The 22,843-nt window shown below is 49.2% G+C and overlaps 2 protein-coding genes and 1 long non-coding RNA gene across 33 annotated transcripts in view, besides 15 other annotated features; 1 reads left to right on the top strand and 2 right to left on the bottom strand.

Annotated features, from left to right (window-relative positions):
- The window catches only part of LETM2 (leucine zipper and EF-hand containing transmembrane protein 2), a 27,097-nt gene extending 18,798 nt beyond the window's left edge, over positions 1–8,299 (top strand). For 15 of the 18 annotated variants that reach the window (XM_017013056.2, XM_017013053.2, NM_001363204.1 and 12 more), the window contains 5 exons: positions 1,297–1,416; positions 3,165–3,278; positions 5,718–5,810; positions 6,134–6,235; positions 6,984–8,299. In XM_017013056.2, the coding sequence (XP_016868545.1) occupies positions 1,297–1,416; positions 3,165–3,278; positions 5,718–5,810; positions 6,134–6,235; positions 6,984–7,046 (492 nt within the window). In that variant the 3' untranslated portion in view covers positions 7,047–8,299. Of the gene's footprint in view, positions 1–1,296; positions 1,417–3,164; positions 3,279–4,054; positions 5,811–6,104; positions 6,236–6,983 lie in introns of those variants that run through there. The other 3 variants (XR_007060702.1, XM_047421383.1, XM_011544408.3) reach the window with 3 other exon arrangements.
- The window catches only part of LOC102723716 (uncharacterized), a 12,924-nt gene extending 1,141 nt beyond the window's left edge, over positions 1–11,783 (bottom strand). Inside the window, exons 1-3 of the long non-coding RNA NR_188043.1 lie at positions 9,666–11,783; positions 1,666–1,867; positions 332–408 (exon numbers count right to left, since the gene is read on the bottom strand). This is a non-coding gene — a long non-coding RNA (uncharacterized LOC102723716). The remainder of the gene's footprint in view (positions 1–331; positions 409–1,665; positions 1,868–9,665) is intronic.
- Positions 2,935–3,434: an enhancer, noted in NCBI's record as "OCT4-H3K4me1 hESC enhancer chr8:38261681-38262180 (GRCh37/hg19 assembly coordinates)". NCBI's record gives its function as "activates a minimal SCP1, AML or CMV promoter by ChIP-STARR-seq in primed H9 embryonic stem cells {active_cell/tissue: H9 hESC(primed)}" and the evidence as "EXISTENCE:reporter gene assay evidence [ECO:0000049][PMID:30033119]".
- Positions 4,085–4,586: an enhancer, noted in NCBI's record as "OCT4 hESC enhancer chr8:38262831-38263332 (GRCh37/hg19 assembly coordinates)". NCBI's record gives its function as "activates a minimal SCP1, AML or CMV promoter by ChIP-STARR-seq in primed H9 embryonic stem cells {active_cell/tissue: H9 hESC(primed)}" and the evidence as "EXISTENCE:reporter gene assay evidence [ECO:0000049][PMID:30033119]".
- Positions 8,523–8,572: a silencer, noted in NCBI's record as "silent region_19126". NCBI's record gives its function as "represses an Ori minimal core promoter by ATAC-STARR-seq in GM12878 lymphoblastoid cells {active_cell/tissue: GM12878}" and the evidence as "EXISTENCE:reporter gene assay evidence [ECO:0000049][PMID:35858748]".
- FGFR1 (fibroblast growth factor receptor 1) overlaps positions 9,915–22,843 on the bottom strand; it is a 57,493-nt gene continuing 44,564 nt past the window's right edge. For 7 of the 14 annotated variants that reach the window (NM_023106.3, NM_023105.3, NM_015850.4 and 4 more), the window contains 11 exons: positions 20,569–20,713; positions 18,305–18,507; positions 17,000–17,145; positions 16,642–16,763; positions 16,078–16,188; positions 14,642–14,832; positions 13,551–13,673; positions 13,331–13,401; positions 12,924–13,061; positions 12,690–12,795; positions 9,915–12,576 (listed from right to left, as the gene is read on the bottom strand). In NM_023106.3, the coding sequence (NP_075594.1) occupies positions 12,400–12,576; positions 12,690–12,795; positions 12,924–13,061; positions 13,331–13,401; positions 13,551–13,673; positions 14,642–14,832; positions 16,078–16,188; positions 16,642–16,763; positions 17,000–17,145; positions 18,305–18,507; positions 20,569–20,713 (1,533 nt within the window). In that variant the 3' untranslated portion in view covers positions 9,915–12,399. The remainder of the gene's footprint in view (positions 12,577–12,689; positions 12,796–12,923; positions 13,062–13,330; positions 13,402–13,550; positions 13,674–14,641; positions 14,833–16,077; positions 16,189–16,641; positions 16,764–16,999; positions 17,146–18,304; positions 18,508–20,568; positions 20,714–22,843) is intronic. The other 7 variants (NM_001354368.2, NM_001174063.2, NM_001174064.2 and 4 more) reach the window with 3 other exon arrangements.
- Positions 11,185–11,857: an enhancer, noted in NCBI's record as "H3K27ac-H3K4me1 hESC enhancer chr8:38269931-38270603 (GRCh37/hg19 assembly coordinates)". NCBI's record gives its function as "activates a minimal SCP1, AML or CMV promoter by ChIP-STARR-seq in primed H9 embryonic stem cells {active_cell/tissue: H9 hESC(primed)}" and the evidence as "EXISTENCE:reporter gene assay evidence [ECO:0000049][PMID:30033119]".
- Positions 11,858–12,531: an enhancer, noted in NCBI's record as "OCT4-H3K4me1 hESC enhancer chr8:38270604-38271277 (GRCh37/hg19 assembly coordinates)". NCBI's record gives its function as "activates a minimal SCP1, AML or CMV promoter by ChIP-STARR-seq in primed H9 embryonic stem cells {active_cell/tissue: H9 hESC(primed)}" and the evidence as "EXISTENCE:reporter gene assay evidence [ECO:0000049][PMID:30033119]".
- Positions 14,150–14,920: an enhancer, noted in NCBI's record as "OCT4-H3K27ac-H3K4me1 hESC enhancer chr8:38272896-38273666 (GRCh37/hg19 assembly coordinates)". NCBI's record gives its function as "activates a minimal SCP1, AML or CMV promoter by ChIP-STARR-seq in naive H9 embryonic stem cells {active_cell/tissue: H9 hESC(naive)}" and the evidence as "EXISTENCE:reporter gene assay evidence [ECO:0000049][PMID:30033119]".
- Positions 15,361–16,026: an enhancer, noted in NCBI's record as "OCT4-H3K27ac hESC enhancer chr8:38274107-38274772 (GRCh37/hg19 assembly coordinates)". NCBI's record gives its function as "activates a minimal SCP1, AML or CMV promoter by ChIP-STARR-seq in primed H9 embryonic stem cells {active_cell/tissue: H9 hESC(primed)}" and the evidence as "EXISTENCE:reporter gene assay evidence [ECO:0000049][PMID:30033119]".
- Positions 16,935–17,698: an enhancer, noted in NCBI's record as "OCT4 hESC enhancer chr8:38275681-38276444 (GRCh37/hg19 assembly coordinates)". NCBI's record gives its function as "activates a minimal SCP1, AML or CMV promoter by ChIP-STARR-seq in primed H9 embryonic stem cells {active_cell/tissue: H9 hESC(primed)}" and the evidence as "EXISTENCE:reporter gene assay evidence [ECO:0000049][PMID:30033119]".
- Positions 18,559–19,060: an enhancer, noted in NCBI's record as "OCT4 hESC enhancer chr8:38277305-38277806 (GRCh37/hg19 assembly coordinates)". NCBI's record gives its function as "activates a minimal SCP1, AML or CMV promoter by ChIP-STARR-seq in primed H9 embryonic stem cells {active_cell/tissue: H9 hESC(primed)}" and the evidence as "EXISTENCE:reporter gene assay evidence [ECO:0000049][PMID:30033119]".
- Positions 19,162–19,707: an enhancer, noted in NCBI's record as "OCT4-H3K27ac-H3K4me1 hESC enhancer chr8:38277908-38278453 (GRCh37/hg19 assembly coordinates)". NCBI's record gives its function as "activates a minimal SCP1, AML or CMV promoter by ChIP-STARR-seq in primed H9 embryonic stem cells {active_cell/tissue: H9 hESC(primed)}" and the evidence as "EXISTENCE:reporter gene assay evidence [ECO:0000049][PMID:30033119]".
- Positions 19,708–20,252: an enhancer, noted in NCBI's record as "OCT4-H3K27ac-H3K4me1 hESC enhancer chr8:38278454-38278998 (GRCh37/hg19 assembly coordinates)". NCBI's record gives its function as "activates a minimal SCP1, AML or CMV promoter by ChIP-STARR-seq in primed H9 embryonic stem cells {active_cell/tissue: H9 hESC(primed)}" and the evidence as "EXISTENCE:reporter gene assay evidence [ECO:0000049][PMID:30033119]".
- Positions 20,253–20,798: an enhancer, noted in NCBI's record as "OCT4-H3K4me1 hESC enhancer chr8:38278999-38279544 (GRCh37/hg19 assembly coordinates)". NCBI's record gives its function as "activates a minimal SCP1, AML or CMV promoter by ChIP-STARR-seq in primed H9 embryonic stem cells {active_cell/tissue: H9 hESC(primed)}" and the evidence as "EXISTENCE:reporter gene assay evidence [ECO:0000049][PMID:30033119]".
- Positions 20,799–21,342: an enhancer, noted in NCBI's record as "OCT4-H3K4me1 hESC enhancer chr8:38279545-38280088 (GRCh37/hg19 assembly coordinates)". NCBI's record gives its function as "activates a minimal SCP1, AML or CMV promoter by ChIP-STARR-seq in primed H9 embryonic stem cells {active_cell/tissue: H9 hESC(primed)}" and the evidence as "EXISTENCE:reporter gene assay evidence [ECO:0000049][PMID:30033119]".
- Positions 21,456–21,956: an enhancer, noted in NCBI's record as "OCT4-H3K27ac hESC enhancer chr8:38280202-38280702 (GRCh37/hg19 assembly coordinates)". NCBI's record gives its function as "activates a minimal SCP1, AML or CMV promoter by ChIP-STARR-seq in primed H9 embryonic stem cells {active_cell/tissue: H9 hESC(primed)}" and the evidence as "EXISTENCE:reporter gene assay evidence [ECO:0000049][PMID:30033119]".
- Positions 21,957–22,457: an enhancer, noted in NCBI's record as "OCT4-H3K27ac hESC enhancer chr8:38280703-38281203 (GRCh37/hg19 assembly coordinates)". NCBI's record gives its function as "activates a minimal SCP1, AML or CMV promoter by ChIP-STARR-seq in primed H9 embryonic stem cells {active_cell/tissue: H9 hESC(primed)}" and the evidence as "EXISTENCE:reporter gene assay evidence [ECO:0000049][PMID:30033119]".

A 22,843-nucleotide genomic window follows, 5' to 3' on the forward strand; every position in this document is an offset into this window, starting at 1 on the left:
CGGGTTCAAGTGATTCTCACACCTCAGCCTCCCAAGTAGCTGGGATTACAGGCACACATCATCACACCTGGCTAATTTTTGTATTTTTAGTAGAGATGGGACTTCACCATGTTGGCCAGGTTGGTCTCAAACTCCTGACCTCAAGTGATCCACCCGCCTCAGCCTCCCAAAGTGTTGGGATGACAGGTGTGACCACCATGCCTGGGTAGAAGTGCATTATTTTCTGTTGGGTCTGGTCATGTTGGGTTCTGACAAAATGAGTGGTTTAAACAACCATTACCATGACAACCTGAACCTTGATTACTCATTTGAGGAGTTGTCATCCCCTTACCCATTTCTTGAGAAGGCCATCATAAGCAGTTAGTAATTTGGATGTCTTAGCTGGGACTCATCTAAAGCAGTTAGGACCTGCTGGGAAGGAAACAGCAGCTCAGTAGATTCCTGACAAAGCTCTGCTCCCACACTTCTGCTCTCATACCGGGAAGCTGGTGCCAAAGTCAATATTCTGCCGGGCGCATTGGCCTGCCAAGAAGGGGTAGTTGGCTTGGTATGCAAAGCATAATACTGGGAGGAAAAGCAGAGCCTCAACACCTTGTAGAAGAAAGGCACCCTTGGACTATAACTACTAATTAGGCTTTTTTAAAAAATGGAAGGAATGTTTGACTCAGAATCAGCTGCTTTATAAGCATTCCACCTGGGGGAGCAGGTTTCCCAGAACTGAGAAAGCATGATCCTTTTGGCCCCATTTAGATTTCAGTTGTTGCTCTTAGAGCTTTGGAATAAACAACACTGGTCCCAGAAATACCATTGTTTTGGGTTACGCCAAGCAGAAACTGTGTTATTTACTGAGGGAGTTTTGTGGACCAGTGTGTTAGGGCCATTTCTGGGGGTGTTGGGGGGACAGCAGGGGAGAACACTACAGGGACATGCAACAAATGGTACATTGTGAGCTTTTCAAGTGAACTACTTTTTTCTAATGAACCATAAAGCTGCCATGGAAAAGTATGTATGTCACAACCAGACAAAATGCAGATCAAAAAGGGAAATAATTACTCTGATGACAGAATGTTGGGAAGGAGTTGTGTAAATAGCCCTGATATTGCTAATTGCTAATACCTGTTGGCAGGATTCCCATTATTTCAACTGCCACCTCCCTACGTCGCCTTTGCAGTAGCAGCCAGTGCAGGGGACAAAGCATCCAAGCCTCTGATTCTGTTTCCACTGATTTGCTGGAATTTAGGGTTTACGTAAAATTGGAATCAAAAGTTCCAACTCCATCCCTTACATTTCTTTCAGATAATTGCCAAGGAAGGGGTGACAGCATTGAGTGTATCAGAACTACAGGCTGCCTGTAGGGCCCGAGGGATGAGATCACTGGGTCTCACGGAGGAACAACTGCGACAACAGCTCACGGAGGCAAGTAGCAGCGCCCCTCTGGGGTCCTCTTCCCTAGAACTCTCTCCTACAATATGCAGACCTCCTTATGTGATTTCTCCTTTGCAAGTGAACCGTCTTACTTAATTTGCCTTATTTCATTGAGCAGTGGGATGCTGAAGGACTAGGTTGATTTTTCACTTTGATTGGGATCTCTATCAGTTTTGTATTGCTGCCTAAGAAATGACCATGAACTTAGTGGCTTAAAACAACACTGGTATATTAGCTCACAGTTGGTAGGTCAGAAGTGCACGCTGTGCTCCTTTGGAGGCTGTGGGAAACGACCTGCTTCCAAGTTCATTCAGTTTGTTGGCTGAACTTAGTTCCTTGCAGCTGTCGGACTGAGGTCTTTGTTTCCCAGCTGGCTGTGAGCCCCGGGCTACTCTCAGCATCTAGTGGCCACCTGTATTCCTTGCCTCTTGGCCTCCTTCATCTGCAAGAGAGAACTTCTCATATGCCAGAGCTTCCTCATGCTTGAAATCTCCAATTTCCCCCGTGTTTGACCTCTAGCCCCAGATTTAAGGTCTCATGTGATTGGTGAGGCCCATCCAAAGAATCTCCCTATCTTAAGGTCAACCGACTTGGGACTTCAGTTACACCTGTAGAATCCCTTCACACAGCAGCCAGAATACTGTTGAATAACTAGGAGAGGGTGTGGGTATTGCAGGGACAAGGTGTCTTGGGACCACCTTAGAATTTTGACCTACTTCACGTAGTGTAACGGGTCCTGGCAAAAATTTCAGTTCAAGGCCTGTCATCTGTGTGAATCTGTCTGGAGGTCCCCACTTTGCCTGGTGGCCCACCTGGGGCTGCTTTTCAATTAGTGCCCCAAACCAGCACACACTGTGGTAACCCATGTTTAATATTTTTCCTCAGATAGCATATTTGGACTTCAAGTAAGAGCATCAATGCTTTAAAACAAAGGAGTAACTCCTATTACATTTCATTCTCATCATTGTAAGAAATGCCATGAAGAATGCACAGATGATCTTAGGTTACCAGCCATGGTGTGGCTTGGAAACCATGTTAGGTTACTTTTTCCTCTCATGTGTGGGACCAGCTCTGGTTGGAAGACAGCACATTGTAGAGAAAGATCCTTAAAATCATGTATTTCTTGAACGTTGGCTATGACACTGTCACTGCAGAAGCTTTGTGAATACTTTTTATGGTACCTTTTGAATTTTATCTTTTGTGCATATATTACTGATCTTAAGAAGACAGAGTCTCACTCTGTCGCCCAGGCTGGAGTGCAGTGGCACTAACACAGGCCACTGCAGCCTCAAACTCCCGGGCTCAAGCGATCCTCCCACCTCAGCCTTCCTAGCTGGGACCACAGGCATGTACCACCATACCCAGATAATTAGAAAATTTTTTTGTAGAGACAGAGTCACCCTGTGTTGCCCAGGCTGTGATTTATTCTTTCACATTATCTACACTTTGTCCAACAGAAGATACTTGACTACTTTGATCCACAGTTGGGTTGAGAGTTTAATTGAATTCTCCCTCTCTGAGAGTGATTCCACCATAGTGAGGGAGGCTGTAGGGTGCCCCCTCAGTGCAGAAGCCAGGGCTGGGCTCTTGTCCGTGTTCTGCCGTGACTCATCACCTGAGCGGCTTGGCGGAAAGGGCGGGGGCGGTGGGAAGCTGTCAGCCAGGGAGGGTAGATGACCGCGGATCACTCTGGCTCTGGTGTTCTGATTCTCACGTGTTGTTCCCCTCCCGTTCTCCAGTGGCAGGACCTCCACCTGAAGGAGAACGTCCCTCCTTCCCTTTTGCTCCTGTCCCGCACCTTCTACCTGATAGATGTGAAGCCCAAGCCGATTGAGATACCACTCAGTGGGGAGGTGAGTACCTGGGTTAATGGGGACCCTCGACGTCCATCCAACTGAGGCCTCTCCACAAACACTTGGTGTACTCTTGCAGTTAGAGCAGGCATTTCTTTTGGCCTTTTAGAATTTGACCCAACTGGCTTTATGTGTTTTAAAAATTTCTAAAAAAACCAACCAACCAACCACAAACAAACAAAACAAAGGAAGGCCAGGCACAGTGGCTTACGCCTGTAATCCCAGCACTTTGGGAGGCCGAGGTAGGTGGATCACCTGAGGTCAGGAGTTTGAAACTAGCCTGACCAACATGGTGAAATCTCATCTCTACTAAACATACAAAAATTAGCTGGGCGTGGTGGCGGGCGCCTGTAATCCCAGCTACTTGGGAGGCTGAGGCAGAATTGCTTGAACCTGGGAGACGGAGGTGCAGTGAGACGAGATCACGCCATTGCACTGCAGCCTGGGCAATAGAACTAGACTCCGTCTCAAACAAAACAAAACAGAAAACTGAAGCCACTCAGTTTTACCTCCAGCCTTAAGGCTGCTACTGCCTTTGAGCCCAGCTTGATTGAGAATTTTACTAATAGGAGCAGTTTATTCCTTTTTCTTAACTATCTTCATTAGCAGACTGGTGTGTGTGGGTGTGGGTGTTTCTGCTGCTTTCTCCTTTTAGACTGAATGGTTCCTGTTCTATTTCATTTGTCCAGATTCCTATTAGTCTTTAAGCATTGAATGGCTTATCTAGAATGTCTTTCAACTCATTTCCTTAATCATTTTTCTTCCTGGTGTTGTAGGGAAGAGCATAAGATTGGCCCAGTCACTACAGCATCTTGCTCTGGGCCCATCAGAAAGGGCCTCCCGCTTCTCTAGCTGGTGGCTTCCTGTCTGACTCAGAACCCGGCATGAGTAAGAAAGGAAAGATTCTTGTAGAATATGCTACACTGTGGTTTAGGGGACTAGTCCAAGTACTAAGTGAGGGCCAGTCGTTTTACATCTTAATTATGCTGTTGACTCCTTGGACAAGCCAAGGAAAATTATTTGAAGTCCAATATGAAAACCCAACTTCAGGAAACACCATCTTGCTTTCCCTTTTCATATTTCTAGAGTAATCTGGTTTTGGGATTTGTCCAGGAAAAACTCTAGGGAGACTAGGAGCAGTTTCAGAGTATAGACCATGTTCTAAAAGGCAGGCTAGTGGGTTCTTATTCTATCCAACTCTTGGATCCACTCATGTGAGACAGACCAAAGTTAATCGTCATTCTTAGATTGCTGTCAGGGGCAAGGAAATCTTGGAGGAGCTCACTGTCTCAGCTAAATCTGGGTTCTCAGAATTATTCTAGAGGGCCATAAGCTCTTTATCCAGATGTTGCTTTCTGGAGTGGGTGAGAACGGAATTAAGGACAAAATGATAAGCTCCTAAGCAAGTTATTGGCTTTTTCCCACCCATGTTTTTAAACTTCTATTCTCCATGTATATATACAAAATGAGAACAAGTAGCATGCTAGGTTCTGTGAAGAATAGAGACATCAAATATACTGTAATTTTGGATGTATGTAGCCTTATCCCTCCAAAGTCCACAAATTACTTCCAAAGCACAGTGATATATGTTTTTCAAATCTAATTCCTAAAGATAGGTTAGCTAGCTATTCTATCACCACTCCCATTCTTATCGTTATCTATTTTAATACCACTCCTCTCCCCATCTTCCTTGCGTTATAGGAGCTTACCATTTTAGTAAATCAGGCAATTTTATCATTTATTATTAGATACTAAAAATGAAAAAGATGCAACATAGACCAAGTTACATCAATGCTATTAGAAAATAACTGAGGCCAGTAGCAGTGGCTCATGCCTGTAATCCAGCACTTTGGGAGGCTGAGGTGGGTGGATCACCCGAGGTCAGGAGTTCAAGACCAGCTTGGCCAACATGGTGAAACACCGTCTCTACTAAAAATACAAAAATTAGTAGCCGGGCATGGTAGTAGACGCCTGTAATCCCAGCTACTCAGGAGGCTGAGGCAGGGAGAATTGCTTGAACCCATGAGGTGGAGGTTGCAGTGAGCCGAGATCGAGCCACTGCACTCCAGCCTTGGTGACAGAGTGAGACTCCATCTCCAAAAAAAAGAAAAAAAGAAAAACAAATAATTGAGAAATGGCTTTTGAGGCCAACAGCAGGACCAGTGCCATCAGTGGATTGCTAATGATTATTTTAAATGCTAGAATCTATCAGAGTGCAACTTTTGTATATAAAGTACTCAAAACTCAAAGAGAAATAATACTAAGTTGCTACATCAGGGGCATATTTCATAGGTTACTCATAAAGGGTGTAGCTAGAGGAGGAAGTTAGGGATTTAGTGGAAAGCAAATAGTGCTAAAAAAGGCATTGACTACTGTAAAAGTTTCTGGGTTTTAGGAAGAGCAGAAAGCTTATGATACATAAAATGTTTATCTCCCCAGGCTCCAAAGACTGATATTCTTGTGGAATTACCTACTTTCACTGAATCTAAAGAGAACATGGTGGATCTTGCACCTCAACTGAAGGGAACTAAGGTTAGACAGTTACTTTCCATTTGGTTAATTAGATTAAAAAATGAAAATAGCAATGGGTCATTTTCTCCTGTTTTAATCCCCTTAATGAAATTGAAATTCAATACAATAATGTTCCTTAATAAGGAATATTTATTGTACTGTTTGATCTAAGAGGAAGCTTAATATTTGGCTACACGTAATTAGGTTCCAGATTTTGCCTTTTGAATCCTGTGCCAGGATATGAGGTAGTTGTGACAAGTTCCTGGTAGTCAAGGTAGTGGACTGTAGATTAATACACATTTTCTTTTAAATCAGTAACCCAACTCTCAGTTCTGATGTTTAAGGATGAAGACTTTATACAGCCGCCACCAGTTACATCATCACCCATAACACCATCAACACCTATTTCATTACCTAAAGGACCCATCACTTCTTCTGAAGAACCTGTAAGTATCTTTAATAAATGAAAAAGAAAGAGAAGACCCTTTCCCTCTAGTTATCTTTAAGGGCAGTGAGAATCTAGAATTAGTCCTGTTGCAAAACACTGCACAATTCTTCCTGTTGTCCAAACAGGAAATTGTAGGCCAAACTTTAGTCATCTTGTAACCACGTTTTTTACTTCAACTATCCAAAAAAAAAAATTGTGGGTCAGACTAAAACATGCAAAGTGTAGAAGTCAGTTACAATATAGGCAGACCCTTTTTTTCTTATGTGCCAGGTGGAAATAGTTTCCATGTGTTATTTTACACATGCTTCCGACGTGAGGAAATACTAGCTGGAAAGCAACTTTAATTTCCAGAGAAATGCATGTAAATAAGAAACTACTTATCTATCATCCAGTTTTCCCAATTGGGTGAAGGGATTTGGGGCAAGAGCACAGGGCATGAAGAGAGTAAACAGTGGGGAGGTTGTGGGAGAGTTGAAGTGGGAAGTGGCTCCTGTGGACCAAAGACATGGCTGGCAGGACAGAGAATCTATGAAGACACAGATGGGGTAAGCCCAGAAAAGCATCCCAAGGCACACACATACCTTGTTTTTTGTAAATCTCCTTTATCTTTTATTACCAAGGTAAATTATAATCTCAGATTTGACTTTGTGGTCACTATTTTGATTAAGAAAACAAAAATAGCATTCACTCCTTAAGAACTTACACGTCTGTGACTAATGCCTACAGTCCTTGTTTTTTACGCCTAGACACTCCAGGCCAAATCACAAATGACGGCCCAGAACAGCAAGGCTAGTTCAAAAGGAGCATAAAGGACTACTTGAGGATGGAGCTCACTCTCTTCAGCTTCCGGCCCTCAACAGTGGCATCTGTAAAGGACCTCCCAGATAAGACTGTCTGGCTTCAGAGAGCGGATCAGCTGTTTAGCCCGTGGGGCAGTCCTTTGAGGCCTGGTAACCATTCCAGGTGATGTGGGTAGTGAGACCAAGTTCAGACCACTTAGAAAAATATAATTGCAAAGTCCCATTTCCTCTGTACCATTGTCACCCCACTCAACTTTGTATAAAGCCCACCCCCCATCATGTTGTTTTTTTAGTTTCATGTGTACGTCCCTTCAGAGAGGAAATTTTTTGCACAATGGAATCAGCTTGGCACCTTAGATACCTGTCTCCTATGGCTTGGAATTCTGAGTAAGAACTTGGAAGTTCCAAAAACCATTTTAGGAGCACCTGATTAACTTTCTGAATGATCCACCAGTAGGATCAGCACCCTGGAAACAAAGTACCTTATGAGATGGGATGGATATACTCCCCAGTAAGATCTTTCTGGATATAATGAAGCTTCCTGGAGAAACAGACTGGCAATCAGAAAGATTTGGCTGCTTCCGACACCTCCATCTTGGGCCTGCAGAGGCTGCAGCAATCTGTGAGGCAGCCGCAATCTGCGAGGCAGCCACTCTTCTAGCACATATGGCTTTCATTAGCCACCATTTTGCTAGGAAGCATAATTAAGGGTTTAAGCCTTAACCATGTTTGTGTTGGGTGTGTGTGTTTCTGGCCAGTTTGTCTTTCACAAATAAGACTATTAGTCATAGGGATTGTGAAAGTCTGATATAATCCCTGTGCTACCCAGCAACAAGTATTACATTAGGATATTTATGCTTGGTGTTTTCAGTATTAATAATATGAAATAATAGATAGACTGCCATGCAGCTGACCAAGGGCTTTCTTCCCCTGGGGAGTGGTTAGAAGGCCAAAGGTATTTCAGCCTGTAGGTGATAAAATTAGATTTCTTTACTTGCTGTGGTTAGACAGCAGTCAGTTAAAACAAGTAAAACTCCACTGTCCTGTCTGGGATCACCTAAATGAGGAATGTCACCAGCACTTCACAGCAAGAATATGCATTCTACAATGCTTTCTAAATTTGTGCTCCATCAGAGAAGCCCCACCATGTCCCACTAATGAAGCCCAGTTCTTTGGGAATGATGAATCCCTACTGTGCACATACAGCAATCATGGATCCTGCCTATCGAGGTGATTCACAATACACTTTCCCATTTCAAAAATGACGGGTATTTTAATTAGTCCACATTTCAGGTGTTAAATGTGGGAAAGGGATTAGCTAAACTTGCTCAATTCTGTTTTAGCTGAATGAGTCATAGGTACTGCTGGGCTGTCCTACAGTTCCTTCTGGCTTTCCCTCCGAGCAGGGTGGGAATGAGCAGTGACCTGGTCAAGGGACCCGGGCCACTTGATAGACCTCTCCTCCCACTCTTCTGCTAGCAGCTCAGAGAAGTCAAGGATGTTTTGTTGTTCTCATCATTTAGGGTGCTTGGCTGTTGGGTTCAGTGATCCTTACATCTAGCCCCAGCTAGTGGTGTTCTGGTAAATCGTTAACCACCAACTCTTTGAGCCTCCCGGGGTAATGAAAGTTACACCTCTAGTTAGCATGTTTATGAAATAGATCCCTTCTGCACGCGAAGACCTGCATGTAGGGCAGTATGGTGGAAATGGTCCTGAATACTGTTGACGGTCCACCTAGAAGGAACCCGCCCAGACCAAGTCTTAGCAGTTGGGTTCTTACTGACCACCTTCTTCCCTGGCTCTCCTCAGTGGAGGGAATGGAAGGCTGTGCCAGCTGTTTCAGAGCTTTCTCCTCTCTGCTCCCTTCTCTATAGATGCAGATGCCTTGGCTCTACCTGCCACTAATGATCTCATTGGGTATGACTTTAGATTTTTTTTTTTTTTTTTTTTTTTCTTTTGAGACAGTCTTGCTGTCACCCAGGCTGGAGTGCAGTGGCACGATCTTGTCACTGCAACGTCTGCCTCCTGGGTTCAAGCGATTCTCCTGCCGCAGTCTCTGGAGTAGCTGGGATTAAAGGCATGCACCACCACGCCTGGCTAATTTTTGTATTTTTGTAGAGATGGGGTTTCACCATGTTGGCCAGGCTGGTCTTGAACTCCCGACCTCAGGTGATCTGCCTGCCTCAGCCTCCCAAAGTGCTGGGATTACAGACATGCGCCACCATGCCTGGCCACTTTAGGCATTCTCTAAAAACCCAACTACAGTGATGCTAGATGTGTCCTGGGTCTTACACACAATTCTGCTACAATAGAGAGGTGGTGGCCACTGACACTTAGGGCCTTGCACCTGTGTCATGTCTAATTCTAAAATCATCCCAAAACGAGCCACATCAGTGCTGCCCAGTTTTTCTGTAATGCCAAATCTAGGCTAAAGATTTCCCACTCACCACCAGCACACACTAGCAGGTAGTAGTTGGACCAATGTGACTTGAGAGCGGACTGGTGCTTCACCTAATGCCAACTGAAACTTCAGCTCGCTGGCTCCACCCAGTGGTGGCGAATAAGCACAGCAACCTCATTAACAATGAGACAGATTTCTTGCCTCATTTGATGCTCAATCTTACTTACCTGAGATCAATACATTACATTAGCAGGGCCAAGGGACCGATGATCTCCAGCCTATGGCAATTAGAAGAGACGGAAAGGCAGTATTGATTAATGCTGTGGTGATCCCAGCCCTAATCTTTTAACCCTCAGGAAACCAGACAGACTCAGTGCCTTCATGGCACAACATCTTCATTAGATAAACTGGATTCCTTTCCTCAGGAGACCCAATTTGGTCCTCTAAGTAAAACGGCCATTTCATTTTCTCTCAGGTCAATTTCACTGTCTTTTATTTGACAGCTAGCGCAGTCTTTGGGGAAATTTGTGGGTGATTTGAGTAGTAACAGCAAGGACATCACTGTAATTATGATAGTGCCTTATATTTTTCTAGCACCTCTCCCAAGGACTTATGAAGACTTTTAGATTCTTCATCCCTTCACACAACATTGCTTCAAGGTAGGGCCAAGGCAGAAATTATCATCACTGTTTTACAAGGAAAGACACTCCTGTGCGGTCTCAAAGCAAATGCTTTTAAGAGCTAAAAATTCATTTCCTAGTTCTGTTCACCAAATGATGCCTTCTTTAAACATAAATACAAATTGTAATGTTAGCAGGTGCTATTTACAGAGAGAAACAAAGAGAATTTTACAATAGTCGCCAACACTGCAGCTGCCAAAAAATCCCTAGCTCAGAAATTTAAAGCAGCAATCCCATTTTCCCTACAGAAATGAAAACATATTGAACTTTCTTTTGTATTTAGCAGTAATCCAGCAAAATATAAGCTTTAATATAGCGACTGAGGAGTGGTAGTTTGAGCCATGAGGTACGGGGGAGCCAGAATCCACTTAGTGAGGACAGTGATGACCAGCAGGTGGCAGAAGTAAATTCCAAGCAGCCAAAAAACCAAAAACATTCGGAGAATTTTCCCCCCGTTCCTGAGGGACAGGATGGAGTTTGGACAGGAAGAACTGTAAGAAGCCAAGATCTGCGACAGTCCCAACAAATACAGTCTGGTCACATGGATACAGGAAGGACGATCTGGGGAGGCATACCAACAAGAAACGAAGCCAGGGACCTGAATGCAAAACTAGCCTCAGGTGACATGTTCTCCTGCACTTAGAAGCACTGGCAAAACCATGCCCACATAGAGGGGGCAGACACATGTCTGGGTTTCAGTTTCTGCAGACCTTCATCATTTGTTTTCCTTTTTGTTTTCTCTGTTGCCCAGGCTGGAGTGCAATGGCGCAATCTCGGCTCACTGCAACCTCCGCCTCCCAGCTTCAAGGGATTCTGCCTCAGCCTCCTGTGGAGCTGGGATTACAGGCGTGTGCCACCATGCCTGGATAATTTTTGCATTTTTAGTAGAGATGGGGTTTCACTAAGTTGGCCAGGCTGGTCTCAAACTCCTGACCTGAAGTGATCTGCCCACCTCGGTGTCCCAAAGTGCTGGGATTACAGGCGTGAGCAACCGCGCCCTTGCTTTCCTCTTAATCACTGTAGCTCTACCCCGTGGCTATTCCTAGGTAGGTGCCCCCTCCCCAGCCCAACCCCACCGGTTTCCTTGGAGGAAACCATCCATGGTCGATGGCTGCTGGGCCTTGACTCTCTGCCCAGCGCCTCTACTGCATGGATGGGGTTCCTGCCCTCGAAGCAGACATCTTCTTTTTCTGACTTTCCAAAAGCAGCGGAGAGGCAGGAGGTGCGTCGTGAGGTCTGGGTGCAGGACCTAGGAAGAAGAGGTTACAAGGAACCTGCGCCGGGAGCATGCGGTGCCCTCGGGACAGACCTAGCCCCAGGGCCCGTGGGTGTCCCTTCTTTCCAGTGGACATTCCCACCCTTTTCATACAGCCCATAGATAAATGAAGCAGCAGCAATTTTTATTGAGGGACCTAAACTGAAAATAGGTTTAGAACATAATTTAAAAAAATAAAACAGCAAAAGTAGCAAAAAATATATGACCTTTTTAAAAACATTTTCCTTTTTTTTCTTTTTTGTTTTTAATATATAGCAACTGATGCCTCCCAGCCACCAGGAGCATCTTACCCGATGGGTAAATCTCTGGTAACGACCCTTTTAAAAAGACATGTAAATATATACTCAGATTTATACACTTTGTGTTTTCTTCATAGCTATATACAGAGCCCCCAGTTTGGGGCTGGGCCCCAGGGCCACAACACTGCCCCCAACCTGGCCTTCGCCTCACCATCCTCTGGTACCAGGCATTTGGTCAGCAAAGCAAACTAGTATCGGAATTAATAAGCCACTGGCACCACCTATCTGGGGCAGAGGTCACCTTCAATCGAGGCACGAAGCACTGACCTCCCTACTGCTGTAGCCCTGAGGACAAGGCACCTGCCACCAGAGTGCGAGGGGCTTATGGGTGAAGGCAAAACAGACCAAACCGACAGGAGAAAGCTCAGGAAGCTCTCACTTGCATGCCTGTTCATTGGCTCCCACTCCCTGCCCTCCAGGCAGTGCCTGGTGGCAGGGAGGGGTGTTGGTCCAACATCTGGGAGGGGATGAAGTGGCTGGCAGCAAAGATCTGCCTCTTTGCACCTCTCACCAGCAGGTGGAGAGGAGGTGGAGGGAGAGGTGAGCTGAGTGGGGTGAAGGCAGGCCACACAGGAAGGCCCCTGGTAGGCAGCCGGCTCCTGCCAGCAGGAAAGGGGACAGGGACGGACAGGTGGTGGGCCCAGCAGGGGCTGTGGGTGAGGGTTACAGCTGACGGTGGAGTCTGGGGAGGGCGTGTGGGTGGCAGTCAGCGGCGTTTGAGTCCGCCATTGGCAAGCTGGGCTGGGTGTCGGGGCAGGCAGGGCTCCTCGGGCAGCGGCTCATGAGAGAAGACGGAATCCTCCCCTGAGGAGCACGTAGAGCTCCGGGTGTCGGGAAAGCTGGGGGAGTACTGGTCCAGGGGCATGGACAGGTCCAGGTACTCCTGTGATGGGCGAGAGGAAGCAGCGATGGGCCGGGCCCCTCCTCCCTGCTCAGGGAGGTGCGTGCACGCAGTGGGGACGGCCTGAGCTCTGGCTCTGGCACGGGCAGCCTTACCTGGTTGGAGGTCAAGGCCACGATGCGGTCCAGGTCTTCCACCAGCTGCTTGAAGGTGGGTCTCTGTGAGGGCACTGCATGCCAGCAGTCCCGCATCATCATGTACCTGCGGCAGGACTGTAAGGTCAGGGACGTCTCCTGGAGATGGATACTCTCTAGTCTAGCCCCCTGCCCCTCAAGCCCACTCTTGCCCCAAGGCCTGGCTCAGGGCCTCCGACATCTCCTCGGGCTTACAGCTCGTTGGTGCAGTTACTGGGCTTGTCCATGCGGTGACCCTCCTTCAGCAGCTTGAAAAGTTCCTCCACAGGCACACCGGGGTATGGGGAGCCGCCCAGAGTGAAGATCTCCCACAGGAGCACCCCGAAAGACCACCTGCAAATGGGCGGAGAGCCACAGGGTGTTAGAGCTTCTCCGCCTCCCCTCCCCCAGCACAAATCCTCTACCCAGGGCAGTGCCAGGAGACAGCATGGAGAACAGATCAGCCTTTCAACATCTGGAGCAGAGGGAATGGCCACAGACAATGTTTTGTTTTTCTCTCTGGGGCAGAAAGAGGACTCCTCAGTCCAGGGAGAAAGCAGGACTCTACAGTGCTAGAAGCTCTCTATCCCACACCTCCCTGGCAATTGCTATTACAAACTCACACATCACTCTGGTGGGTGTAGATCCGGTCAAATAATGCCTCGGGTGCCATCCACTTCACAGGCAGTCGGCCCTGAAAGCAGCACAGGGGAGGTTGGAGTGGCCCCAGGCAGGGCCATGAGGGCACAGGTGGGAAGGGACTGGGGGGTGGGTTCTCAGCCCACCCCACTCCTTGCTTCTCAGATGAAACCACCAGCACAGGGCGGCCTTGTCGGCACTCACGTTGGTTGTCTTTTTATAGTAGTCGATGTGGTGAATGTCCCGTGCGAGGCCAAAGTCTGCTATCTTCATCACATTGTCCTCTGTCACCAGGACATTCCTGGCTGCCAGGTCTCGGTGTATGCACTGAGGAAGGAGGAAGGGAGAGCGGGAGGCGGGGAGGTGAGGGAGCTGGAAGGCTCTGGGCGGCCGCCACCCATGCAACTAGCCGACTTGTCTCATAGAACTTCTGCCACACTGCTCTGCCCCCCGAACCTTTGCTTTCCCTCTTCTAACATTCTCTGCCAGCTCCAGGCTTCTCATCACAGCAAGCGCTCCTCCCTTCCTTCCCCAAAGACTGGCCCCTTATGCCTCTGCTGCGTCTGCAGCGATGCATGCTCCTAGGTCCTGCCTCCCAGCACAGCAAGTCCACATGGGGCTGGGCTCAAACCAGGCCAGCCCTTACACACCAAACACTGCACTCAACACTCACAGACAGTTTCATTTTATCTTCATAACAATTCTACAACAGGTATTGTTATACTTTATTTTCTTTTGAGACAGGGCCTTGCTCTGTCGCCCCGGCTGGGGTGCAGTGGTGTGATCATGGCTCAGTGCAGCCTCAAACTCTTGGGCTCAAGCTAGCCTCCCACCTCAGCCTCCCGAGTAGCTGGGACTATCGGCACGCACTACCACACCCAGCTAATTTTTTAATTTTTTTTTTTTTTTTAAAGACGGGGTTTCAATATATTGCCCAACCTGGTCTCACACTCCTGAGCTCAAGCAATCCTCCCGCCTTGGCCACTGCACCCAGCTGATATTATTATTATTTTGTATTTGAAGAATTTTAAGATGCTAAGTAGCTGCCTGAGGCTACGCAGAAAGTGGCAGTGCACAGATCGGACCCTGCATCAGTCTGACCCCAAGGCCACCTGGCTACACTGGTGCTCCTGACTCTGCAGTTCCCAGAGAGCCTAAGACAACACACAGGGCACACAGGGCCAGTGCTCAGTGCATCCACAACGCCACCACAAGATGATAAGTCACAGGCTGGAAGACTAGGGGGGCTCTGTTCCCACCCTGGCATTACCCAGGGGAGCCTTCAGGTTCCACACCTTCTTGGAGGCCAGATACTCCATGCCTCGGGCCACCTGGTAGGCGCAGGACACCAGGTCCTTGGAGGAGAGCTGCTCCTCTGGGTTGTGGCTGGGGTTGTAGCAGTATTCCAGCCCTGGGGGCCTCCGGGCCTGCAGGTACTCCCGCAGGTTGCCCTTGGAGGCATACTCCACGATGACATACAAGGGACCTGCAGGCACAGGAGAAGAGGCCATGGGGCCAGCAGCAGGTGAGCAGGTTTGGCTTCACCTCAAAGAAACCCCACCCCCAGCAGCACACCCCGGCCAACCTCCCATCTCCTGCCTCCTCTTAGGGGACCTGGGAAATCCATTCTACTACCCAAAAAAAATCAGAGAAATAATTACTCCCAGCATAGTCCAGAAAATTCCCGAGCAACATTGGGGTAAGAGCCCCAGTTTGTCTGTTTATTTTGAGATGGAGTCTCACTCTGTTGCCCAGGCTGGAGTGCAGTGGCGCAATTTCGGCTCACTGCAACCTCTGCCTTCTGGATTCAAGTGATTCTCCTGCCTCAGCCTCCCAAGCAGCTGGGATTACAGGCATGAACAATGCCTGGCTAATTTTTTTTTTTTTTTTTTTTTTTTTTGAGATGGAGTTTTGCTCGTTGCCCAAGCTGGAGTGCAATGGCGCGATCTCGGCTAACCGCAACCTCCGCCTCCCGTGTTCAAACGATTCTCCTGCCACAGCCTCCCGAGTAGCTGGAATTACAGGCATGCGCCACCACGCCCGGCTACTTTTTGTATTTTTAGTAGAGATGGGGTTTCACCTGTTGGCCAGGCTGGTCTCCAACTCCTGACCTCAAGTGATCCACCCGCCTCACCCTCCCAAGGTGCTGGGATTACAGGCGTGAGCCACTGTGCCTGGCCTATTTATTTATTTTATTTTTGAGACAGCGGGAGTATCTCCCAAGCTGGAGTACAATGGCGTGATCTTGGCTCACTGCAACCTCCACCTCCCGGGTTCAAGCAAGTCTTATGCGTCAGCCTCCTGAGTAGCTGGGATTATAGGCATGCGTGACCATGCCTGGCTAACTTTTGTATTTTTTAGTAGAGATGGGGTTTCACCATTTTGACCAGACTGGTCTCGAACTCCTGATCTCAAGTGATCTTCCTGCCTCGGCCTCCCAAATTGCTGGGATTACAGGCATGAGCCACTGCACCCAGCCTGAGCGCTCTTAGACCATAATTACTCAGCTGCCTCTGTTAACACACCACGTGTGTGAATCTAGGTATCTGTATTCCTGAATGAACACCAATGAGCGGAGCCCAGATCCCGAGATAACACATTTTAAACCTCTGCCAAAGCAGCCTCTCTTAACCCCCTTCCCTAGCTGTGGCTGAGAGAGGCCTTGGGACTGATACCCCAGCTCAGATCTTCTCCCCGCTGGGCAGGGAAAGCCAGTCTGGCCGGCACCCACCATCCTGCGTGCAGGCCCCCAGCAGGTTGATGATATTCTTATGCTTCCCGATCATCTTCATCATCTCCATTTCTGAGATCAGGTCTGACAAGTCTTTCTCTGTTGCGTCCGCTTTAAAGAACACGTTGAGACTCATTTACTTGGGAAGGGAGGAGGGCAGGATAAAGGCTAAGGGAGTGGGGTATGTGTCGAGGGGCTGCTTTTCCCTGGGACTTGATTCTCTCCTCCCCACTTCATCCAAACTTGTTTTCTCTTCCCTCTCATGGGAGCCGTTGTTGCAATAGGTGGTAGTGAGTGGGCAGGGATGTGGTGAGGAAAGCCTGCAAGCGATGGATCCAGGATAAACACCTGACCACAGCCCAGGTTGACGCCAAGGAACAGAGTGACGTCATAGAACAATCTCAAGGTGCAGAACACCCCCTCCACTCCCAGGTAACCCCAAGCAGGCAGCGGAGCAGGTGTGGGCAGCAAAGGCACCAGAGAAGCTGTTCTGCTGGGCCCGAGGCCTGCTGTTTGCTTGGAATGGGACAAGATTTTCTTTGCAAGGACAGAAGCATCACTTACACTTCAACATCTTCACAGCCACTTTGGTCACACGGTTGGGTTTGTCCTTGTCCAGCCCGATAGCCTCTGCCAACACCACCTGCCCAAAGCAGCCCTCTCCCAGGGGTTTGCCTAAGACCAGTCTTTCGGGGGAAACAGAGAGTGGCATAAGTTGGGGCTGGTGAAGTTCAAACCTTGAGAGGCACCCCATCTCCACCTCTCTGTATTTCACCCAACTGCGAGCAGAAAGTGGAATGAATGTTTCTGCAGGCATTTCATGAACCTTCACCGCCCAGAAGGTGTTAGTATACACACCTTCCACCACTAGAATAGCAAGCAAGGAATGCCTTCAAAAAGTTGGGAGTCAAAGTATTATTACCTGTCCCGAGGCAGCTCCCAGCGAGGGTCTTCGGGAAGCTCATACTCAGAGACCCCTGCTAGCATGGGAGTCCCACTGGAGGAGAGCCGTGATGGCCGAACCAGAAGAACCCCAGAGTTCATGGATGCACTGGAGTCAGCAGACACCTGCAAGGAAGAGTGGGGTCACCCTAGAGCAAGGAGGGGGGACGGGGTGACTCCTTCCCATTCTTAGTCAGGGCTTCCCAACAATGGCAGAGGCACATGTCTGTGTATCTGATGTTCTTTCCTCAACACAGAGTGGTCCAAAGACCATGGTAGGCCAGGAGGCCCAACTTCTAGGACTGACCTATTTCTGCCACAAGCTGGCCTTTCTGGACTTCACTCACCTTTAAAATAAGCAGACCAAATGCACCTCTTCCAGCTTGACATTTTATAACTGATCATTGCAGTAACAACTCTGTTCTCCTGACTCTTTGCAAATACTTTGCCTTAGCTTATGGATTCCTAACTCCCAAAGCACCTTCCAGAATGAGCACAGGCTTCTGAGGGAACGGTCATTCTTGCACACACCTGTGCCATCTGTACCATTTCCTCCCGTGGGGAAGGGTGGGCACACAGGGGACAAGGGTATGGTATGGCTGAGATGGTTTGGCTGTGTCCCCACCCAAATCTCATCTTGAATTCCCACGTGTTATGGGAGGGACCTGGTAGGAGGTCATTGACTCATGGGGGCAGGTCTTCCCTGTGCTGTTCTTGTGATAGTGAATAAATCTCACGAGATCTGATGATTTTATAAAGGGGAGTTTCCCTGTACAAGCTCTCTTCTCGTCTGCCGCCATGTGAGACGTGCCTTTTGCCTTCTGCAATTGTGAGGCCTCCCCAGCCACGTGGAACTGTGAGTCCATTAAACCTCTTTCTTTTGTAAATTGCCCGGTCTTGGGTATGTCTTTCTCAGCAGTGTGAAAATGGACTAATACAAACAGTTCTCTTCTCTACCCTGCATCTCTGCACTTCTAAGCAGCCCTTGGGGACAGTTCAAATTCATGCTATTGGCTGCACATTCTGTCCAAATAGGACTTCCTCCCAATCCATGTCCCAGGAGTCCGGAGGACTTGCAGTGTGATATGGAGGGTGCAGGAAATTCACGGGCTACACTAGCTTGAAACAGACTCTAGAGCACTTAGTTCATGATATTCCACTGTGCCTTGCCCAGAAGCCAGAAAATAAGGCCCAAAGCTATAAATTAGGGACAATGGAGAGGGCAGGGCATTAGAGGCCCAGAGAGAGAGGTGGTGCTGAGTGTGCAAATCCCCCATCTACTTTCTGTTACCTGTCTGCGCAGAGGGATGCTCTTGGCCAGCTTGTGCACAGCCATCTGGCTGTGGAAGTCACTCTTCTTGGTACCACTCTTCATCTTGTAGACGATGACCGACCCCACCATGCAGGAGATGAGGAAGGCCCCTGTGCAATAGATGATGATCTCCAGGTACAGGGGCGAGGTCATCACTGCCGGCCTCTCTTCCAGGGCTGAGTCAGTGCGAACAGGGTGTTAGCAGGCTTGGAGGGCCCCGTCCATGCGAGGTCCCGCTCCATTAGAAAAGCAACACCTGTCTCCTGTCCCCTGGGAACTTTTAGGGAGAAGAACCATGGCAAGTTCTAGCTAGGACTGGGATTGTGGCACTAGGAGGATCAGGCAACCCCCTGATTTTGGAGGCTGCCTTCAATGGACTTGAGCCATGGAAAAGGGATGGCCTAGAACCATCGTGCTACACAAGCCCCATCTTCATTAATTCCTGAGCCTCCTTGCTCAGCTGGACTGGAGAGGTACAGGCACCCAGGGATCCTGCAAGGGCCAGCTGAGAAGTCACTTCTATGTGCCTTTCTTGGTCTCCTCAGGGAGCCATGGCCCTTCTCTGCAAAGCCTCAGCACTGTGTGCATGCACTTAACATGCGGGGACACAGATGTTTCTGAGTCCTCTGTCCCTAAGAAGACACGGGGTCCCTGAGGGCAGGGTTGGTGCCTCGTTTATTTCTGCAGGCCACAGTACCTGGTGATGGTGGCACTCACAGAATGAGGACAGAGGACAGGAGGGGAACCAGCCTGTGCCTTGCTCAATGTCCCACTTTGGGTCTGTGTCATCTCTGTAGGGGCACACAGGTAAATATTTATTCCTAGCCAAACCACAGGCAAAGCTGACTTAATTTCCAAAAATAAGCTTTTTTGGTAGTTCTTTCAAATTCTACTCATAGGCCCCAACTCCTAAAACTTAAGGAAATGTGGCGGCAGGGGGCGGAGTTCCATTTTGTTATTCTCTTCTCCCACCTTCTGATTAGGACTCACCCCCCACCCCATTGCCACAGCAGCTAAGCCAGTTCGGTCCACCTTTCCCTTCAGCACGAGAGGCTGGGAGGCTTTCATCCCAGCACGCACAGCACTGGTTTCATGGAACACGCTTTGCCCCACGGGTGTGGACGGCCCTCCTCCTTCCACAGGCCTCCTCCCAACCTTCCCCTTTAAAACCCACCAGCCAACCATGGAGGCGGCGCCCCTGGGAACCTTCCCAGAGAGGCATGAGGCATGAGGCACGACCCTAGACTGAGCCCAGAGAACGTCCCAAGGCCTGACAAGGAGACAGCAGAGCTGATGACAGGGAGAAGTGTTGCTGTTTTTTCTTTCCCTGATGTTGAGGAACGAAGACAACTGATTGGGAGCACATGGGGAGCACGGACAGGACCAAGACAGGGACGATGATAAAAACAGAACGCTTCTCTGCCTCCAGCAGGGGCATCCGGAGACCCTGACGGGCAAGCAGGGCAGAGTGGGAAAGGAGGGGAGAGAGAAGAGGGCAGTGCCAGCAGGAACAGCCAGACCCACATGCAGGACATTCCGAGAGACAGCAGCAAGCCCTGGCCCCGCAGTCACCAGCCACCACCCTGAGCAGGCTGCAGGCTCCTTCCTCCCTGGCTCAACACGCAGACCTCCCCTCTTGGGAGAGGAGAGACGGCAGCAGGCAAACAGGATACATGGACATCGTGAAGCCTGCTGCGGCTGCCTGAGACAGGCCTTTCTGAAGGCAACTCAGTTCACCTGTCCAGGCTGACCTCCTTCTTCAAAGGCAATAGGATGGCAGTACAGGAGGGTGGGCTGCTCTTTGCAAGCAGCAAGCCCCACCCCTGGGCTGAGCACTTGAGAAGGGAGAAGAGGTGTAGGGCCCTATCTGAGACTTTTCAGATGCTCAGTACCCAGCGGAGGGGGGAGGCTGCTGGACCCAAGGACGGAAGGAGCCTGCCCTGGAGGAGTCGGGCTGCAGGGTAAACCCAGATCCCGGGCATGCATTGCAATGGCCAGGGGGAGAGCAGAGGCAGGTGTACGGGTGGGAGGCCTCCGTGCGCCTGCAAAACTAGGGAAGCTCTTCTCTGAGCTGAGAGGATTCAGCCCTCAAAGCTGGGGCAGGATGTGGCACCAGGCAGGCAGGAGCCCATTCTTCCAGCTCTCCTGCCTCTGTGTCTCCCCAAGCCTGGAAATGCATGCTCCCCCCGTGCCCGTGGCGAGGGCAGGACATCGAGAGGAGAAGTTACAGTGTGTACCTTCCAGAACGGTCAACCATGCAGAGTGATGGGAGAGTCCGATAGAGTTACCCGCCAAGCACGTATACTCCCCTGCGTCCTCAAAGGAGACATTTCTTAAGTGAAGCACCTCCATCTCTTTGTCGGTGGTATTAACTCCAGCAGTCTAGAAGAGACAACGGAAGCAAAATGGACAAGCACAGGACATGAGACCTCTAAGAGACGCAGAGCAAGGGAAGGAGACAGAAAGAAGGGGGACTAGAGGAAGAAATGCTCCCTGACATCTTCTTTGCAACAAGGAACAAACGAAAACCACCAGGCAGCAAAACCTGTTAGAGGAAGAGGGTGAGACCCTGAGGGAAGAACTCCGGCAGACCTGAGAAGACGATGGCTGGTTACGACCCTTCACCAGATGCTGGCAGCCACTGGCCCATCCGAGCATGCGGGCGGTGAGCGGCATGGAGAAATGGGGCCGGCGGGCAGGGGCTGTTTGGTTTCAGGTAAAGATAGCCAGAAGGTGAACACAGGAGGGATGGCGGGGGCTGCAGACACACACATGCACACGCATACACACACGCACATGTGCATACACAGCCAGCAGATGCGAGTATGCAAGGGAATGCCTAACCCCTTCTCTCTCTTTTTTAAGAGATGGGGTACCATTCTGTCAACCCAGGCTGGGGTGCAGTGGCATAAACATAGCTCACTGCAGCCTCGACCTAAGCTCAGGCAATCCTCCTGCCTCAGCCTTCAGACTAGCTGGGACTACAGGCACACGCCACCATACTTGGCTAATTTATTTAATTTGTAGAGATGGGGTCTTGCTATGTTGCCCAGGCTGGTCTCAAACTCCTGGCTTCAAGCGATCCTCCCACCTCAGCCTCCCAAAGTGCTGGGATGACAGGCGTGAGCCACTGTGCCTGGCCTATGGCCCCTTCTCTTAATCACCACTCACTCACAACTTCAGTCTGAAGTACCATTTGTAACACAGCAAAACCGTGTCCCCGTGAGTCCTCACATGGATCCACACAAAGCCAAGGAACACACAGAAGGCAGAGAGGGAACCCACAGACACCAACACAATACCAAACCAAACCAGCCTCCCAGGCCGGGTATTTTTCCATGGCTCTGGGCACTAGAAATACAGTAGGGTGGCAAGGACAGTCCAGTACTGGCTTCCCCGCCTGCCCCAGCAGCTTGGGGCCTACATCAAATCCCCAGCACAGGGTCCCATCCATCTCCCCATTACCTTTTGCCACAGGTCTGGTGACAGTGAGCCACGCAGACTGGTTAGCTTCACCAATATAATTGGAAACCTTACACACATACTCCCCGCTCTGGGCCTCTGTCACATTGAACAGGGTCAGCACCTCCGCATCCGAGCTATTAATCCCCGAATGCTGGAACAAACCAACGACACACCAGTCAGTTGGGCAAAGCTGAGATGTGGCCACGCACGTTGCTCCCGTGTAACTTTCAGGCAGGCCCAGGGAGCGAAGGGAGATGTTAAGTGAGATTTATTACCTTTCCCTTTTAGTTTTTTTTTTTTTTTTTTTTTTTAACGCAGAGTCTCACTCACTCTGTCACCCAGGCTGGAGTGCAGTGGCGTGATCTCAGCTCACTGCAACCTCTGCCTTCTGGGTTCAAGCAGTTAGCTTGCCTCAGCCTCCTGAGTAGCTGGGACTACAGGTGCCAACCACTATGCACAGCTAATTTTTGTATTTTTAGTAGAGATGGGGTTTCACCATGTTGGCCGGGCTGGTCTCAAACTCCTGACCTCAAGTGATCTAAAGTGCTGGGATTACAGGCGTGAGCCACTGCGCCCGGCCTTCTTTCCCTTTTACAAGTACAGAACAAGTGGACTTCAAAAGTCCAAAGCATTTGATTAAAAAAAAAAAAAAAAAAAAAGAATCACTGCTTCAAATGGAATGTTCTATTTGTGTTTAACCCACTCCCTCCAGGACTGGAGCAGGGGTTGTGAGTGGAGACAGTGGCCAATGACCTACAGAGCAGTTTTAGCACCAGCAGCAAAGAGAAGAGAAGGGAGGGCCAGTATATCTCTGAGACAGCTAAGCTAGGGGAGGATGAGGTCTAACTCTGGGACAAAGAGGTAAACAACTTTCCCAGCTTCTGGTTCCTTCCTGTTGCGAGATCCACTGGAGATTTAGGCAATTACCTTCCCTGGATTAATGGAGCATTCAGGGACAATGAATGTCTGGGAGTGAGAGGAAAAAGGAAGAAAATGCCATTACTCCTCGTCCTCATATGGCTTAGAATTTATATATGGCATTTGTTT

The sequence above is a fragment of the Homo sapiens genome, chromosome 8, assembly GCF_000001405.40.
Source record: "Homo sapiens chromosome 8, GRCh38.p14 Primary Assembly".
NCBI classification, from domain to species: domain Eukaryota; kingdom Metazoa; phylum Chordata; class Mammalia; order Primates; family Hominidae; genus Homo; species Homo sapiens.